Source organism: Homo sapiens, chromosome 5, assembly GCF_000001405.40.
Source record: "Homo sapiens chromosome 5, GRCh38.p14 Primary Assembly".
NCBI lineage: Eukaryota > Metazoa > Chordata > Mammalia > Primates > Hominidae > Homo > Homo sapiens.
Window position 1 is genome coordinate 115,150,589 of NC_000005.10, and position 19,843 is coordinate 115,170,431.

Here is a 19,843-nt window from a genome sequence, read left to right on the forward strand (position 1 = left end):
ATGCTAGCACTGTGAAATTTTGCTCCAGAACGACTACAGAAATAGGAAAGCTGAGAGGACCCACAGGCCCCCTGAAGGAAGCAGACTGCTCCTACAGGACCTGGGAGACACGCTAAATACTGCGAGGGCCCAAACTGTGGAACTGGGAAAGGGAGATTGTCTGCCCCTGAACACACCTCCACTGGGGAAACTGAAGACCTGGATAACGGGAGATTTTGACCTTACCTGGAGCTGAGTCAATTTAGAGAGCTGAGTGAAATACAAGGGTAGAGGAAGCAGTGGGAAAACCCCTGGAAGCTCACTGGGCCCCCATCAAGTCGTTTTTGCCTGGCCTCACAGGGGTCCTTCCGGAGAACGGCCAGAGGCTCTGGGAAAAGGCCACAGGGAGAAGGAAACCTCCAGCTAAAGTTTGTAACAATTTGAACTGATGGAGAAGCCTCCTGGCCACAACTTGGGGGAGGGTGTAAATCCAGTGTGCAGACTCCACAGGTGGGAGAAGGAAAGCCATACTTGCTTTTGCAGCTGGGAGGCGGGTAGACTGGGGCAAGTTCTCAGCCCTGCTCACCCACTGCCTGGAAACAAACTTGGTACTGTTGTTGGGGGTACAGTGGAAGTGGGACTGGCCCTTTGGACTGTGTGGGAGCTGGGTGAGGCCTGTGACTGCCGGCTTTCCTTCACTTCGCTGACAACCTGCATGACACAGCAGAGGTGGCCATAATCCTCCTAGGAACATAACTCCATTGACCTGGAAACCTCATCCCCCAATCCCCGCAGCAGCTGCAGCAAGAGCTGCTCAAGGAGAGTCTGAGCTCAGACACGCCTCGCCCTGCCCCCACCCAGGGGTCTTTCCCTACCTACCCTGGTAACTGAAGACAAAGGGCATATAATCTTGGGAGTTCTAGGGCCCTGCCCACTGCCTGTTCCTCCCCCTACCACCACAGTTGATGCTCTTTGGAAAGTGCCACCTCCTGGCAGGAAGCCAACCAGCACAAAAATAGTGCATTAAACCACCAAAGCTAAGAAGCCTCAAAGAGTCCATTTCACTGCCTGCCACCTCCATCAGAACAGGTGCTGGTGGTATCCATGGCTGAAAGACCCAAAGATGGTTCACATCACAGGACTGTGGGCAGACAACACCCAATACCAGCCCAGAGCCTGGTATACTTGCTGGGTGGATAGATCCAGAAGAGAGAACAATCACTACAACTCGACTCCCAGGAAGGCACATCCATAGGAAATGGGGAAGAGTACCACATCAAAAACAACCCGTGGGACAAAAGGAACTGAACAGCAACCTTGAGCCCTAACATTTCCTCTGACAGAGCCTACCGAAATGGGAAGGAACTAGGAAACCACCTCTGGTAATATGACAAAACAAGGTTAACACCAGCAAAAATCACACTAGCTCACCAGCAAGGGACCCAAACAAGAAGAAATCCTTGATTTACCTGAAAAAGAATCCAGAAGGTTACTAAGCTAATCGAGGAGACACCAGAAAAAGGCAAAGACCGATGTAAGGCAATCCAAAAAATGATACAAGAAGTGAAGGAAGAAATGTTCAAGGAAATAGATAGCATAAATAAAAAACAATGAAAACTTCAGGAAATACTGGACACACTAATAGAAATGCAAAATGCTCTGGAAAGTCTTAGTAACAGAATTGAACAAGTAGAAGAAAGAAATTCAGAGCTCGAAGACAAAGTCTTCGAACTAACCCAATCCAACAAAGACAAAGAAGAAAGAATAAGAAAATATGAACAAAGCCTCCAAGAAGCCTGGGATTACGTTAAATGACCCACCCTAAGAATAATCAGTGTTCCTGAGGAAGAAGAGAAATCTAAAAGTTTGGAAAACATATTTGGGGGAATAATCGAGGAAAACTACCCCAGCCTTGCTAGAGACCTAGATATCGAAATACAAAAAGCACAAAGAACACCTGGGAAATTCATCGCAAAAAGATCACTGCCCAGGAACACTGTCGTCAGGTTACCAGTTAAGACAAAGGAAAGAATCTTAAGAGCTGTGACACAAAAGTACCAGGTAACCTAGGGAAAACCTATCAGATTAACAGCAGATTTCTCAGCAGAAACCCTACAGGCTAGAAGGGATTGGGGCCCTATCTTCAGCCTCCTAAAAAAAAATTATCAGCCAAGAATTTTATACGCAGCAAAACTAAGCTTCACTTGTGAAGGAAAGGTAAGAGTCTTTTTCAGACAAACAAATGCTGAGAGAAGTCACCACTACCAAGCCTCCTCTAAAAGAACTGCTAAAAGGAGCTCTAAATCTTGAAACAAATCCTGGAAACGCATCAAAACAGAACCTCTTTAAAGCATAAAACACACAGGACCTATAAAACAAAAATAAGATTTAAAAAACAACAACAACAACAAAAAACAAGGTACACAGGCAAAAAAATAGCACAGTGAATGAAATGGTACCTCATATCTCAATACCAACTGAATGTAAATGGCTTAAATGCTCCACTTAAAAAAAGACAAAGAATTGCAGAATAAGTAAGACTTCACCAACCAACTATCTGCTGCCTTCAAGAGACTCACCTAACACATAAGGATTCACAAAAACTTAAGGTAAAGGGGTGGAAAAAGACATTTCATGTGAATGGACACCAAAAGCCAGCAGGAGTAGGTATTCTTATATCAGACAAAACAAACTTTAAAGCAAACCAATTTAAAAAGACAAAGAAGGACATTAAATAATGATAAAAGGCCTTGTCCAACAGGAAAATATCACAATCCTAAACATATATATACCTAACACAGGGGCTCCCAAATTTATAAAACAATTACTAACAGACCTAAGAAATGAGATAGACAGCAACACAGTAATACTGGGAGGTATCAATACACCACTGACAGCCCTACACAGGTCATCAAGAGAGAAAGCCAACAAAGAAACAATGAATTTTTTTTTCTTTGAGATGGAGTCATGCTCTGTCACCCAGGCTGGAGTGCAGTGGCATGATCTCAGCTCACTGCAATCTCTACCTCGTGGGTTCAAGAGATTCTCCTGCCTCAGCCTCCCGAGTAGCTGGGATTACAGGTGGGTGCCACCAGGCCCAGCTAATTTTTGTACTTTTAGCAGAGACAGGGTTTCACCATGTTGTCCAGGCTGGTCTCGAACTCCTGACCTCAGGTGATCCTCCCACCTTGGCCTCCCAAAGTGCCGGGCCACCATACCCGGCCAGAAACAATGGATTTAAACTATTCCTTGGAACAAATGGACCTAACAGTTACATGCACAACATTCCATCCAACAACCACAGAATATACATTCTATTCAACAGCACATGGAACTTTCTCCAAGACAGACCATATGATAGGCCACAAAATGAGCCTCAATAAATTTAAAAATATTGAAATTATATCAAGCACTCTCTCAGACCACAGTGGAATAAAACTGGAAATCAACTCCACAAGGAAACTTCAAAACCATGCAAATACATGGAAATTAAATAACCTGCTCCTGAATGAGCACAGGGTCAAAAAAAAAATGAAATTAAGATGAAATTTAAAAATTCTTCAAGCTGCATGACAATAGTGACACAACCTATCAAAACCTCTGGAACACAGCAAAGGCAGTGCTAAGACGAAAGTTCACAGCCCTAAACGCCTACATGAAAAAGTCTGAAAGAGCACCAAGAGACAATCTAAGGATACCCCTCTAGAAACCAGAAAAGCAAGAACAAACCAAACCCAAACCTAGCAGAAGAAAGGAAATAAGCAAGATCAGAGCAGAACTAAATGAAATTGAAACAAATGAAAAAAAAAACCCACAAAAGATAAATCAAACAAAAAGCTGATTCTTCGAAGATTAATAAAATTGATACACCATTAGCAAAATTAACTAAGAAGAGAGAAAATCCAAATAAGCTCAATAAGAAATGAATCAGGAGATACTACAACTGACACCACAGAAATACAAAAGATCATTCAAGGCTGCTGTGACTACCTTTACATGCATAAACCAGAAAACCTAGAAGAGACAGATAAATTATTGGAAAGATACAACCTTCATAGCTTAAATTAGGAAGAATTAGATACTCTGAACAGACTAGTAACAAGCACCAAGATTGAAATGGTAATTTAAAAATTATCAACAAAAAAAGTCCAGGACCAGATGGATTCACAGCAGAATTCGACCAGACATTCAAAGAACAATTGGTACTAATCATATTGACACTATTCCATGAGATAGAGAAAGAGGAACCCTCCCTAACTCATTCTGTGAAGCCAGTATCACCCTAATACCAAAACCAGGAAAGGACATAACAAAAGAAAACTACAGACCAGGCTGGGCGTGGTGGCTCACGATTGTAATCCCAGCACTTTGGAAGGCTGAGGCAGGCAGATCCCCTGAGGTCAGGAGTTGGACACCAGCCTGACCAACAAGGAAGAAACCTCGTCTCTACTAAAAATACAAAAAAAAAAAAATTAGCCGGGCATGGTGGTGCATGCTTGTAATCCCAGCTACTCGGGAGGCTGAGGCAGAAGAATCGCCTGAACCTGGGAGGCGGAGGTTGTGGTGAGCCAAGATCGTGCTGTTGCACTTCAGCCTGGGCAACAAGAGCAAAACACTGTTTAAAAAAATAATTAGCCAGGTGTGGTGGCGTGAACCTGTAATCTCAGCTACTCAGGAGGCTGAGACAGGAGAATCGCTTGAACCAGGGAGGCACAGGTTGCAGTGAGCCGAGATCGCACCACTGCACTTCAGCCTGGGCAACAAAGAGCGAAACTCCGTCTCAAAAATAAAAATAAAAATAAACTACGGACCAATATCCCTGATGAACACAGAAGCTAAAATCCTTAACAAAATACTAGCTAACTAAATCCAACAACATATCAAAAAGATAATCCACCATGATCAAGTGGGTTTCATACCAGGGATGCAGGGATGGTTTAACATATGCAAGTCAATAAATGTGATACACCACATAAACAGAATTAAAAACAAAAATCACATGCTCATCTCAATAGATGCTAAAAAAGCATTTGACAAAATCTAGCATCCCTTTATGATTAAAACTCTCAGCAAAATCAGCATACAAGGAACATACCTCAATATAATAAAACCCATCTATGACAAACCCACAGCCAACATAATAGTGAATGGGGAAGAGTTGAAAGCATTTCTTCTGATAACTGGAACAAGACAAGGATGCCCACTCTTACCACCCTTCTTCAATATAGTACTGGAAGTCCTAGCCAGAGCAATCAGACATAAATGGCAACCAAATCGGTAAAAAGGAAGTCAAACTATCACTGTTTGCTGATGACATGATTTTTTACCTCGAAAACCCTAAAGCCTCCTCCAGAAAGCTCCTAAAACAGATAAAAAAATTCAGCAAAGTTTCAGGATACAATACTAATGTACACAAATCAGTAGCTCTTCTGTACACCAACAGCGACCAAGCTGAGAATCAAATCAATAACTCAACCACTTTTACAATAGCTGCAAAAAAAACCCCAAAACCAAAAAACTTAGGAATATACTCAACCAAGGAAGTGAAGGACTTCTACAAAGAAAACTACAAAACACTGCTGAAAGAAATCATAGAAGACATGAAAAAATGGAAACACATCCCATGCTCACGGATAGGTAGAATCAATATTGTGAAAATGACCATACTGCCATGAGCAATCTACAAATTCCATGCAGTCCCCATCAAAATACCACCATCATTCATCACAAATTAAAAAAAAAAAATTCTAAAATTCATATGGAACCAAAAAAGAGCCCGCATAGCCAAAGCAAGACTAATAAGCAAAAAGAACAAATCTGAAGGCATCACATTGCCTAATTTCAAACTATACTGTAAGGCCATAGTCACTGAAACAGTATGGTACTGGTATAAAAATAGGCACATAGACCAATGGAACAGAATAGAGAACCCAGAAATAACCCAAATACTTACAGCCAACTGATCTTCAGCAAAGCAAACAAAAACAGAAAAGTGGGTAAAGGACATCCTTTTCAAGAAATGGTGCTGGGATAATTGGCTAGCCACATGTAGGAGAATGAAACTGGATCGTCATCTCTCACCTTATACAAAAATCAACTCAAGATGGATTAAAGACTTAAACCTAAGACCTGAAACTATAAAAATTCTAGAAGATAACACTGAAAAAACCATTGTGGACTTTGGCTTAGGCAAGGAGTTCATGACCAAGAAGCCAAAAGCAAATGCAATAAAAACAAAGACAAATTGCTGGGACTTAATTAAACTAAAGAGCTTTTCCATGGCAAAAGGAATAGTCAGCAGAGTAAACAGACAACCCACAGAGTGGGAAAAAATCTTCAAAATCTATACATCTGACAAAGGACTAACATCCAGAATCTACAATGAACTCAAATAAATCAATAAGAAAAAACAATCCCATCAAAAAGTGGGCTAAGGACATGAATAGACAATTCTCAAAAGAAGACATACAAGTGGTCAACAAACATATTTCAAAATGCTCAGTATTACTATATGATCAAGGAGATGCAAATCAAAACCACAATGTGATACCACCTTACTCCTGCAAGAATGGCCATAATAAAAAAAAAAAAAACAGTAGATGTTGGCGTGGATGCAGTGAACAAGGAACACTTCCACTCTGCTGGTGGGAATGTAAACTAGTACAGCCACTACAGAAAAGAGTGTGGAGATTCCTTAAAGAACTAAAAGTAGAGGCCAGGCACAGTGGCTCACACCTGTAATCCCAACATTTTGGGAGGCTGGGGTGGGTGGATCACCTGAGGTCAACAGTTCGAGACCAGCCTGACTGACATGGTGAAACCCCCGTCTCTAGTAAAAATAGAAAAATTAGCCAGATGTGGTGGTGCTCACTTGTAATCCCAGCTACTTAGGGGGCTGAGGCAGGAGAATTGCTTGAACCTGGTGGGCGGAGGTTCCAGTGAGCCAAGATCACGCCATTGCACTCCAGCCTGAGCGACAACAGCGAAACTCTATCTCAAAAAAAAAAGTACTAAAAGTGGAACTACCATTTGATCCAGCAGTCCCACTAGCGGGTATCTACCCAGAGGAAAAGCAGTCATTATACAAAAAAAGATACTTGCACACATATGTTTATGGCAGCACAAGTAGCAGTTGCAAAAACGTGGAAAAAACCCAAATGCCTATGAATTGAGAAGAAACTGTGGTATATATACACGACGGAATACTACTCAGCCATAAAATGGAATGAATTAATGGCATTCACAGTGACCTCGATGAGACTGGAGACTATTATTCTTAGTGAAGTAACTCAGGAATGGAAAACCAAACATCATATGGTCTCACTCATAAGTGGGAGCTAAGCTATGAGGATGCAAAGGCATAAGAATAACACAATGGACTCTGGGGACTCAGGCAGAAAGGGTGGGAAGCGGGTGAGGGACAAAAGACTACAAATAGGGTGCAGTGGATACTGCTCGGGTTATGGGTGCACCAAAATCTCACAAATCACCACTGAAGAACTTACTCATGTAACCAAACACCATCTGTACCCCAATAAACTATGGAAATAAAAAAAATTTTAAAAATGAAAGAAAGAAAAGTAATGATGGCTTGGAAAGGTAAGGAAGTAATGTAGACCAAGAAATGCAATTTTATACATCAAACTGAATCTGTGGGGACAATAATATTTGCAAATTATATACTAGCACCTTACAGAATCTCTTCTTTTTCCCACAAATCTTTCCTTTGAAGGTAGATTAAAAAGTCAGCATAATTTTAAAATAAAGACTCTAAAAAATTTCAAATTGGTTTATAGCAAATCCCCTAAAAAAGTCAGCTTTCAGTCATTTGTTTAACCATTTAAATATCAAAGAGAAAATAAAGTATTTCAAAACAAAGAGAAGAGAGTCAGTTCATAACTAACAGGTTCCAAACCTCTGCCGGTTGCATCCTCTCCCGTATTCTGGCTGCGACTTCCCCATCGCTATCCCTGGACAGTTCATGAACTACCTCTCCCAATGGTGGACACTACTGTTGGGCTTTTGCTGTTTGGCAGTGGCCTGATATCTTATGCTGCCACCTTAATGCTTCTTTTGGTACATTCTGACTATTTGATGCCTATGAGTTATATTTACCTTTTGGGTATTATATCAGCATTCTTCACCCTGTAAAATTTATTTCTCTCAACTACCCTCTGAACCAAAAATGGGTAGTAGCTTTTTTAAAGCAAACTGCTCCTATCTTTCCTTCTAATTACTAAATTTCAACACTTAAAATTTATATTCTCAAAAACCTGTAAGAAAAAGAATTACACGTGGCTTCTAATCGTGGCTTTAAGATTTTTAAATCAAGAAATGCAGAAGAAAGAGAGAAAGACAGAAAGGGGATAAATTTCAGGTGTTAAGTATTCTCCCATGAAATAGATGGTGGTATCACCAGCATTCCATTAAAAAGCAGTCAATGTTATTTTTAAAGGTCAACTGGAGTAAAAATAAATTTTAATAAGATAGGTTGCCCCATCTTTTACATAGAATCAAATATTTCAGAAAGTCTAATAAAGGAGTGTACATTTACCCACAAGTGGGTAAGACCTCAATGCTAAAACTCTGATGCCAAGTACTTTAAAACATCAACAAAGAAAAGACTCTATATGTATAAAACGAGCAAAGATATCATTAAATAGAAAAATAATCAATACCTTTAATCAAATTTTTCAATACATAAGAAAGCATTAGCTTATTTAACCTTTAAATGTAGCAATATCAAGCTTTGTTCACTAAGTAAATGTAAAGGATGTTTTAAGATATCATATACAAAAAACAAAAGCGGTATAAATCATTTTCTTCAAAAATATCTTGTCATGTATATTGACAAAATGCAAGCACCAATAATCAGTGTTTTCTTTTAAAAACATCAGAACTTGCTTGGAAATTTAGTCCTGTTGACCTTTAAGTCGTTTCAGCCCAATTTGTTCACTCTCTACACAATTTTGAAGACTTGACCACTGATGTTTAAGAATCTTACACAAGATTATTTAATTTAAATCTAACACTATATTGCCTGCGGCCACAAAAGCAATAAAACATTTTCTACCTCTCCACCCCACAGATCTCCGTTGTGATGCTGTGAACAATGAACAGAAAGCTGGATTTAGAATTTAATTTCAAAGAGAAGATTCACAACTTGTTAACAAAAGAGAAAGCGGTAACTGTGTCCTGAAAATAATACAATTATTGAATTAACAGTAAAAATGTGTTTTTCCTGGTACACATAGTATTTATGAAGCCAGGAGCATAAAACATACATCAAGCAATCTTATTACAATCATTGTGGGTATAGCACTTAAGAGACAATACTTTGTTCTATATAGATTTGTATTTTTAAACAATCATACTTAAGGTAAATGTTGCAAATACAAAGTGAAATCAAACATCTTTTGTTTGACTTTTTACTGACCTAATAACTGTTAAAAAAAAGAAAAAAAAAAAACTAAAATGAACATATTCAGTTTAGACAACCAGAAAATACAAACTGGGGGGAAAGCTTACTGTATACTTTATGATCAAAAGTATACAGTAATATGGCTTTTATTTGTACATAATTTAATATGCTACTGTGTTATGCACACAAATCTTACTCTCCTTTCAAGGTACCCTTTAAAAAAAACTGTCAAAAATCTAATGCAAAATAATCCAAAAGAAATGTATGAGCCAAAACTACAATATACGTAAGTTTAAATTTTCCAGTAGCCATATTAAAAAAATTGAAATTAATTTTAATGTTATTTAACCCACTATATCCAAAATACTATGATTTCAAAATATAAACAATATAACAATTATTAAAGATCATTTCACAGTCTTTTTTATTCTGTGTATTTTAACTCACAGCATATCTCAATTCAGACTAGCCACATTTCAACCACTTAATAGCCACATGTGGCTAGTGGCTACCATACTGGACAATCCGGGTTTAATTAATCCCTTTATTAGACCAGTGGCAAAACTAGACTGGGTATAGTGAATAACGCCTGTAATCCCAGCACTTTGGAAGGCCAAGGCACAAAGACTGCTTGAAGCCAGGAGTCTGAAACCAGCCTAGGCAACAAAGTGAGACCTTCTTCTCCACAAAAAAAATTTTTTAATTAGCAGGGTGCGAGTGAGTAGCATGCACCTCTAGTCTCCGGTATGTAGGAGGCTGAGGCAGGAGGATCACTTGAGCCTCAGAGTTAGAGGTTACAGTGAGCTATGATCAAGCCATTGCACTCCAGCCCAGGTAACAAACAGAGTGAGACCCTGTCTCAAATAAATGTCTAAAGGATAAAAACTTAAGAAGAAAGCTGTCAGAAAAAAAGGAATATTACTCATGAATCTACCAAAAAAAGAATTATATGCAAATGCCCAATAAATAGATGGCAAGTAACATCACATTTGCACTGCAATGACTTCTACTAGTTTAAAACTGGTGAAGGACAATCCTAAAATTTGCATTAAAACCTCCAGGAATGATTTCCATACTTACAGCATTCGCACCCTTTGGGTGCTCTCTCTTTGTTAACTTGATCTGTGTGTGTTCGTGATAAAGGACTATGCTCTAGTAATTACAGCTGTTATAAAGCTTTGCACAATGCTAAGGGGTATGTGTCTTTAAAAAAAAAAAGAAAAGAAAGTGGGTCTATCTCGCTCATTGTTCTTAACCATTTAGCCATATCTGGTAACCAGCAGGTGCTCAAATATTTGTTGAATGAATGAATGAATGCCACTGGTATTTAATAAGGCATAGAACTTCAGTGCTGGAGATATGGCATGTGACAGAACAACTGGCCCAACCTACCACCCACAGCAGAAACACCCTCCACAATATTGCAGACAGTGGCCACCCACCCATTGTTTTAAACAAAGTCTTCAGATACTGATGGCCCAAATGCTGCATGGGTCACAGCCAAAGACATGTTTTGGCTGTCCTGCCCTATTGAGCTGGTGTGGTATTGTTAAATAATCTGAATTGAAAATATTTAAAAAACAGATTTCACATGGAAACCACTATCAAGTTTTTGTGAAAAACCAATAAATCTGACAATCTGGCATCTTCAACCCTGACACTGCCAAGTGGTTACTGCCCCCTTTAACAAGGCATCCGTTTCAGTCTCCACAGTCCCAAACCACACTCTACTTCTCCAATAAGGAGTCGTAAAATCAGTTGGCTGCTGTCACTTTGGGCTGATGGTTTTCTTACAGTAGTTGAGCTAAAGGGAAAATCAAATATTTATTGTCTCCATATTTACAGCGAAAAACTAAAATGAAGGAGAGTCCTATATTTATTATGCCTGGGGCTCTCTTCATTAATGCACCCGTTTGGCCCTGCAGCATCTAAATTTGACACCTGATGTAAACACATTTAGTGGCAGAAGTCTGATATACTTAGCCCATTTCATTTCTGGACAGCCTTAGTGGGGTGTGTGTGCGCGTGTGTCTTCTTTCATGCTAAGTTAAATCTGCCTTCCTATTCCATCTACTCATTGACCTGGAACCTCTGCTAGAGATATCCAGCATACTCATTCTATCCATAAGAAAACTATCATATTCTGCAGTCACCCCTTCTCATCTCCTGTAACTGTTCTTTACAGAGAAAAGTTTTCAAACTCCACCATTCTAAGTTTCCCCTCTCAGGACATAATCTAACTTCGTAGGGTTCTTCCTAAAGAAGAGGGAGAAACATCCCAGTAATGCTATTTCGGATCTAGACAGTGAAATGTATGGTGTAATGGAGCTCATATTCCAAAAGACAAATGCCATTATTACTGAATATAAGCCATTGTGGCACTCTCTGTACAAATCCTGTGGCAGAGGTTTCTCATTCAACATCCATTCAACAAATATTTATTAAGCATCTACAGAGTACCATGTCAGGTAAATTCCTGAAAACAGAAAATCATTCATCTTGTTCTTCATATGAATCACATAAAAAACTAGCCAAATCTTAACATTAAAAGCCTACAGAATTTTGTGAAATATGTATATAAGTGCAATCTAATTATAAGTAGAAATATCTAGTACATAACTAAAATTTTATTTGTTTTTGCTAAATATTAACATACAAAAAGTTTTCTTTGGTCAATCAAGCATGGGTTCCCAATTAGCCAATGAAGATCTACCAGCAGAATATCAAGTTTTATCTAGTAGGACTGATTTCAAGGGATGCTGTCTTTCCCTCCTCAGTGCGCCAGATTGGCAGCAAGGGAGGAAACATAAAGGTGATGACTAGCCATTAGGTAGTCCCACTCCTTAACTCTGCAGTATTTATTTTCCTATTACCATATATGAATGTTTTCCTAGTTAGTATTTCAGTAGTCCATTATTCTATGTATCAAGTACATTGCACAGTCAGAATAATTCCTAAAGACAAACATAGCTTTTTTTTTTTTTTTGAGACAGAGTTTCACTCTTGTTGCCCAGGCTGGAGTGCAATGGCGCGATCTCGGCTCACTGCAACCTCCGCCTCCCAGGTTCAAGCAATTCTCCTGACTCAGACTCCCAGGTAGCTGGGGTTACAGGCACGCGTCACCACACCTAGCTCATTTTGTATTTTTAGTAGAGATGGAGTTTCTCCATGTTGGTCAGGCTGGTCTTGAACTCATGACCTCAGGTGATCCACCCGACATGGCCTCCCAAAGTGCTGGGATTACAGGTGTGAGCCACTGTGCCCAGACTTACAAACACAGTTAATAAGGAGTTTAACACAAAGTTCATGTTCAATATCCAATATCTACTTCAAGTATGTATCAAAAGACGAGAGTTCATTTTGACATTTTAACAGTGGGGGAGGCCCCTTTATAACTACAGTTTTAATTTATTCACCTGGAAAAATTAACTCTCAAGATGACAAAAATAATTTTCCTTCCAGTTACCACTGAATATATATCTATAAGCTTACCCCCACTACCATCCCAGCCCACAGTTCTAACACATACCTGGTCTGTTAATTCGGTCAATTTTATCCATACTAGGGGAGGGGAGCCGAAGTCGAGGACTGCTTTGATTGGAGTTGTCTGATCCCACATCGTTGAATGAATCATCGAGAGTCAGCAGGAGTTCTTTTACACATTTATGACAGATACTATGTTGGCAAGGGAGAATCAATGGGTGGGTAAACAGCTCCTTGCATGCTGGGCAAATGAGCTCCCTTTCGATATTCTTAATGGTAACCTTGAGAGTAAAATAGTCCAAGTTAAAGGCTCTTAGTGGGTAAATATATTAACATTCTTATACCTCCTGAATAAGTACATGTGTTTATTTTTCCAAAAAGAATTAAGAAAATGATTTTCTAAATTTTAAATTTCTTTTCCCCAATAAAATTTGATACCATCAACTGCCCTCAACACCCATAACCCAGAACTGAAGGAACATGAGATAGTAAAAGGCAAAAATGAAGAGAAAAATTATGTAAAATATTAGGGGACCATGATATTTTATCAAAAATTATAAAGCCATCATTCGAATCTCCATCACCAGTGCACTGATTTAGGACTTCGGTGAAATCCTAAAAGTAGATCATGTCAATAAAAATTTTGAATACAGCACTAAGAGTAAGACTATATTCTTATTTAGTGAATTAACACTGTGACTGACAAATAACAGGAGCTATTAAACACTAGCTGAGTCAGTATGTTCATGGAAACCTAGTTGGTATCTATTTACAAGCTGAATTATCAGCAATTTTCTACATTAAATGCGACCATTCTTCATTAATGCCTGAGGTTCTCATGCTGTATATCAAAGCAATTATCTTAAAAGCACTTTATGAGTATGTATTAGTCCATTTTCACACTGCTATAAAGAAAATTACCTGAGGCTGGGTAATTTATAAAGAAAAGAGATTTAAGTGACTCACAGTTCCACATGGCTAGGGAGTCCTCAAGAAACTTACAATCATGGCAGAAGGGGAAGCAGATCTGTGTTACGTGGTGGCAGGTGAGAGAGAGCAAGAGCAGGGATACTGCCTTACAAAACCATCAGATCTTATGAGAATTCGCTATCACAAGAACAGCATGGGGAAAATCTACCCCTGTGATTCAATGGCCTCCCACCAGGTCTCTCCCTCAACACCTTGGGATTACAATTCAAGATAAGATTTGAACCTAACCATATCATTGTGGCCCTGGCCCCTCCCAAATCTCATGTCCTCACATTTCAAAACCAATCATGCTTCCAAACAGTCCCCCAAAGTCTTAACTCATTTCAGCATTAGCTCAAAAGTCCAAGTCCAAAGTCTCATCTGAGACAAAGCAAGTCCCTTCTGCCTAGGGGCCTGGAGAATCAAAAGCAAGTTAGTTACTTCCAGGATACAATGGGTGTACAGGCATTGGACAAATGCTCCCATTCCAAATGGGAAAAATTGGCCAAAACAAAGGGGCTACAGGTCCCATGAAAGTCTGAAACCCAAAAGGACAGTTATTAAGTCATAAAGCTCACAAGTGAGATCTCCTTTGACTCAATGTCTCTCATTCAGGGTACGCTGATCCAAAGGGTGGACTGCCATGGCCTTGGGCAGTTCCACCCCTGTGGCTTTGCAGGGTACAGCCCACACACCACCTGCTTTCATGGCTGGCATTGAGTATCTGCAGGTTTCCCAGGCGCATGATGAAAGCTGTTGGTGGATCTACCATTCTGGGGTCTGGAGGACCATGGTCCTCTTCTCAGAGCTCCCCTAGGGAGTGCCCCAGTGGGGACTCTGTGTGGCGGCTTATATCTCACATTTCCCCTTTGCACTGCCCTAGCAGAGGTTCTCCATGAGAGCTTCGCCCCTGCAGCAGACTTCTGCCTGGATATCCAGGTGTTTCTGTACATCCTCTGAAATCTAGGCAGAGGTTTCCAAACCTCAACTCTTGACTTTTGTGCACTGGTAGGCCCAACACCATGTGTAAGCCACCAAGGCTTGCACCCTCTGAGGCAATGGTCTGAACTGTACCTTGGCCCCTTTTAGCCACAACTGGTACTGGAACAGCTGGGACACAGGGCACCAAGTCCCAGTGATGGCAGCTGCAGCCCATCTGGAGCAGCTGCTGCAAAGATGCTGGCTGCAGTTGGGAAGGCACAGCCGGACCTGCTTGCTCTGCAGAGCCAGCGGGACCCAGGAACAGGCAGGAGCCCTTCTCCCTTCCGAGTTGGTGCGGAGGGAGCCCCATGCTCCTGGGTGCAATTGCAGCCACCCAGCTGTGGACTAGGGCATTCCTATGCTCTCGGGGGCCCAGGATGCCTCTCTTCCCCCACATGCTCAGAAGTGCCTGCTCCTACTGCTTGGCCTCTCCCCATTCCCAGTGCCCACTCTGACTTTGGAGAAAAGCTGTGGCCAAGCCCGGGCACTGACATGACCTGGCCAGGTGTGTGTGTGCTTGAGGAGATGCTGACACACCAGCCCCCTGCCACCTCAGCTCCCTCTGGACTTTGGGCGCTGATGAACGTGGGAGGGAGGCCAAGGGCAGGGCTGAGGGTGACTCAACGTGGTACTGCAGGCGTCCCTCAGCTAAAACAGTCTGGGCACCATGAACAGCAGTGGGAGGGAGACAGGCTCCTGGGAGGAAAGGGACAGGTCCCTGCTGAAACCCCACCTTCAAGCCAGGGATAGCCTGAAGCCTAGGGTCCAGGCTGCCAGTTCCACTGACTGGAGTGAAAACTTACAGTGAATTTTCCAGGCCCACCCATGGCCACCCATGGGCCAATCAGCACACACTTCCTCCCCTCTGAAGCCCATAAAAACCGCAAACTCAGCCAGACTCTGGCAGATGATAGGACGACCTGCCTGCAGGTAAGAGCTACCCACTTGGGTCTCCTCTCCACTGAGGACTGCACACTCGACAAAATGACCTGCCTGCAGAGAGGAGGTACCCACTCCGGGTCTCTTCTCTGCTGAGAGCTGCAGTTGTCGGGAGGAACTGCCTGCAGAAAGCAGCTACCCATGACAGGTCTCCTGAGAGCTACTCTTTTGCTCAATAAAGCACCTTGTTCACCCTCCAGTTGTCCATGTAGCTCATTCTTCCTGGACACAGTACAGGAACTCTGGACCTGCCAAATGGCAGGACCAAACAAGCTGTAACACAAACTGTGTCAAATACACCCTGCTGCTCGCCATGTTGTGGGTGACGATGAGGAGACAAGAGAGGAGAGAAGAGCTGCAGCCCTTCAGGGAGCCTGGACTTAGGAGCTCCCCAAGCCAGGGCTGTGACATCCTCTTTGTGGCTCTGCAGTTGCCGGCATCTCCAAGTTTCTGGGTGCCACCATGTTCCACAGTGCTTGTAGTGGGAGCCACTTGTGGTACACCTGTTCCAGCCACAGCAAGGAGCCGGCGCCCATACTGGCACCTGGACCTGCCTGCCCCGCCACAGCCACCATGCCTGGCTGTGCACACTGTACCCCGCGCTCGCTCACTCATGCACCCCTTGCTGCTCTGCACCTGGCTTGCCGTTGGCAGCCGTGGGATCTGGGCCAGTAGTGAAAACCAAGCACAGCCTGCTGGGTCAAGTGGGCAGAACAAGCCCAGTGGGCCTGAGCAAAACTTGGGCAAAGGCAACACTTGCCACAGAGGTTTCTGGCTGGTGAAGCGACACCCTAAGGATCCTGTGATACCGAGGCTGCACACAGCAGCAGGGCCCTGGGCCCACTCCACTAAAACATTTTTCTCTCCTAGGCCTCCAGGCCTGTGATGGGGCTCTCTTCATTAATGCACCTGTTTGGCCCTGCCAAACGGAGGGACTGCTGCCAAGATCTCTGACATGTCCTGGAGACATTTTACCCATAGTCTTGGCAATTAACATTTGAGTCTTTTTTACTTAAGCAAATTTCTGCAGCTAGCTTGAATCCCTCCCCAGAAAATAGGTTTTTCCTTTCTACTCCATGGTAAGGCTGCAAATTTTCCAAACTTTTACGCTCCGCTTCATCTCTCTCAAGTTCAAAGCTTCACAAATCTCTAGGACAGGGGCAAAACACTGCCAGTCTCTTTGCTAAAGCATAGCAAGAGTCACCTTCACTCCAGTTTCCGACAAGTTCCTCATCTCCATCTGAGACCACCTTGGCCTGCACTTCTTTGTCCATACCACTAGCAGAATTTTGGTCAAAACCATTCAACAAGTCTCTAGGAAGTTCCAAACTTTCCCACATCTTCCTGTCTTCTTCTGAGCCCTCCAAACTGTTCCAATCTCTGCCTGTTATTCAGTTCCAAAGTCACTTCCACATTGTTGGGTATCTTTACAGCAGTGCCCACTACCTTGGTACCAATTCTCTGTGTTAGTCCCTTTTCACAGTGTTATAAAGAAATACCCAAGAGTGGCTAATTTATAAAGAAAAGAGATTTAATTGACTCACAGTTCTGCATGGCTGGAGAGGCCTCAGGAAACTTACAAATATGGCAGGAAGGGAAGCAAGCACGTTTTACATGGCAGCAGGCGAGAGGGAGTAAGAACAGAGAATACTGCCTTATAAAACCATCAGATATTGGGAGAATTCACTATCACGAAAACAGCATGGGGGAAACCACTCCCACGATCCAATCACCTCCCACCAGGTCTCTCCCTCAACACCTGGGGATTACAATTCAAGATGAGATTTGGGTGTGGACACAAAGCCTAACCATAACAGAATATTAAAAGAATGTAGGGGACCCTTTAAAAAGGTGTATAAGCACCACTACAACTGCTCTCAATACTACAGCCTTTCATTATTTTAAGTGAGAAGCATTTTAGACTCATCACAACTAAAAAAGTTTGATGACCTCATACCAGTTTCCCCATCATTTCTCTACGTAGTTTTTTCCATGTATCCCAGACTTCATATCTATGAATCCTATAGTCAGCATCCCTGCAATTTTAAAGACAGCCCAACTTCAAAGTACTTATAACCTTGTACAATCATTTCAGCTACTAGAAATACACAGAAAATTAAAATTGACTTAACTAAATGTAATGAAATTTTAAAATGTATGCTAACCTATTCTCCCTAAAGTGACACCAAGTGCTTCAATAATCTCTGACAATTTAACTGCATTAGAGCCAACTGGTTTTATCATTGTCAGTGGGTGTTTCGATGCAGTCTCTTGCTGCATCACTCAAATATGTGATGAAGAGCCATATCACCTCCCAACTGTTCACAGATTTGGAAATAAGATAACTAAACCTCACAATTCACATCAAAGAATACAGAATATTCACATCCTATCTCATTTCACAAAGGGTTTGGCACCTAATTCAAAAGAAAATCTTGTCCGGGATATCCAAAATAGGTTCTTACATTCCATTTTATGTATAAATATGGTCAGTTCAGGTTTACTTGTCACTGGGGGAGGATCTAAAATCATTTCCATTTTCTTGTACATAAAGCAGTGTCTTGAATCTGACTTTTTAATCACAATGGACATAAAGTATTTCTTACCCAAGAGAAAATTTAGTTCATCTGTCATTGAGGGAGAAACAAACTGATTAAGTGTGATGTGGCGGCTCCCTCAATTAAGCAGTTCCTCGAGAAACTTCGGAAGAATTGCACATTCGACACCTTTAAACAAAAACACTTGTAGGCTGACAGCTGCCGGGGCCCCGGCCCGCCCCCCGCGGGCAGGCGAAGCCGGGGAGGAGCCTCTGGCCCAGGCGGCGGCAGCCGGCCGGGCCCGCGGGGGTCAAGACGCCTAGACAAAGGGCGGCCCCGCAAGCGCGAGGGACGCGCCCCAGCTTTCTGCCCGCACCCGACTCCCAAACGCTAATTAATTCTACAGCCTGAGCTCCATTAGAGAGACCCTCCATGATTCCCCCGAGGTGCTCAGGTGGGCAACCATCGGATTTGCGCTCTTCTCCGGCCCAGGGGACCCCACGTCCGGCTCTCGGGGATAGAAAGGGGACGCCCCGGATTGCGGAACCTAGCCCCGGGCGGGAGAAGGCGAAGAGGAAGCGGGATCCCCACACGCCTGCCTTTGCTCTCCCGGGAGGAGGCTCCCTCCGGGCTCCCGGCGGAGGAAAGAGAAAGAGCCGCGGTCGGCACACCGCCCTCGAGGTGGGGGCGGCGGTCCCCTCCGCACTCACCGGCGAATCTGAGCCATCGCCCTCCATGGCTGCCTTCTGCCAGGTGTCATCAGCGGCACGTTCCACTCACACCGGCTACCGAGCGCAGGGTCTGGTGGGCGGGTCCCTGCGGCGGCCGTGGAGCCTCGGTCCGAAGCTGGAAGATGAGCTGGTCAGCTGTACGTGGCCAGCGGACCGACGCGGGGAGAAGTAAGCCGGGGCAGGCAAAAGCACAGGCGCGGGAGAAGCGAGCTTTGCTCCCAGCGACTACCCCGGGAATCCCGCCCAGCTGCCGGCTGCAGCAGCGGCTCCTGCGGACTGCGGCTGGGAACGGCGCCGCGCAGAGACCTGGGCGGGGCACCGCGGGGCGTGGACAGGGCGTGGCCTGGTCGTTGCCCAGGCAACAGCGCCAGTCGCACAAAAGAGGCGGGGCCGCCTGGGGCTGGTAGGCCGGGTGTCTGAGTGGTAGGCTGAGCGGGACTCGGCTGGGCGTGGGTGTGGCACGCGGTTGGGACTCGGCGCCCTCCGCCGCCACCTTCCCCCTACGCATCAGCCCCTCCCTCCCACCCGGGTAGTCGCCCGTCGCCCTATGCCAGGCTGGGGGGCTCTGAGGAACGGAAGTGAGGGCAGCGGGGAGCGGTGGGCGGGTGCCGAGGGCGGCGCCGGGGCGGGGAGGCTCCGCTGCAGCAGAGCAGCCGGCTGCAGCCCTGGCCCCTGGCCCCTGGCCCTGCGCTGCCATTCCGCCCTTCAGTTTGCTCTCACTGCGCTTTCTTCACTCGCGGTTCGAAGCCCCGCTTCCAGGCTCGGCACAGGACGGTGCGGGCGAGGGCGAGCCTAAGCCACCT

General features: G+C 43.5%; 1 protein-coding gene across 9 annotated transcripts in view, besides 2 other annotated features; it reads right to left on the reverse strand.

Annotated features, from left to right (window-relative positions):
• Positions 1-19,843, reverse strand: part of TRIM36 (tripartite motif containing 36) — a 55,523-nt gene that overhangs the window by 25,817 nt on the left and 9,863 nt on the right. For 3 of the 9 annotated variants that reach the window (XM_017009621.3, XM_017009623.3, XM_047417362.1), the window contains exons 2-3: positions 12,930-13,164; positions 9,053-9,082 (exon numbers count right to left, since the gene is read on the reverse strand). The exons of 1 other annotated variant lie outside the window; for it this stretch is intronic. In XM_017009621.3, coding sequence (XP_016865110.1) covers positions 9,053-9,082; positions 12,930-13,164 — 265 coding nt within the window. Of the gene's footprint in view, positions 1-225; positions 682-9,052; positions 9,083-12,929; positions 13,165-18,378; positions 18,499-19,019; positions 19,321-19,843 lie in introns of those variants that run through there. 5 more of the 9 variants (XM_017009622.3, XM_047417360.1, NM_001300759.2 and 2 more) reach the window with 5 other exon arrangements.
• Positions 18,496-18,585: a silencer, noted in NCBI's record as "silent region_16245". NCBI's record gives its function as "represses an Ori minimal core promoter by ATAC-STARR-seq in GM12878 lymphoblastoid cells {active_cell/tissue: GM12878}" and the evidence as "EXISTENCE:reporter gene assay evidence [ECO:0000049][PMID:35858748]".
• Positions 19,316-19,735: a silencer, noted in NCBI's record as "silent region_16246". NCBI's record gives its function as "represses an Ori minimal core promoter by ATAC-STARR-seq in GM12878 lymphoblastoid cells {active_cell/tissue: GM12878}" and the evidence as "EXISTENCE:reporter gene assay evidence [ECO:0000049][PMID:35858748]".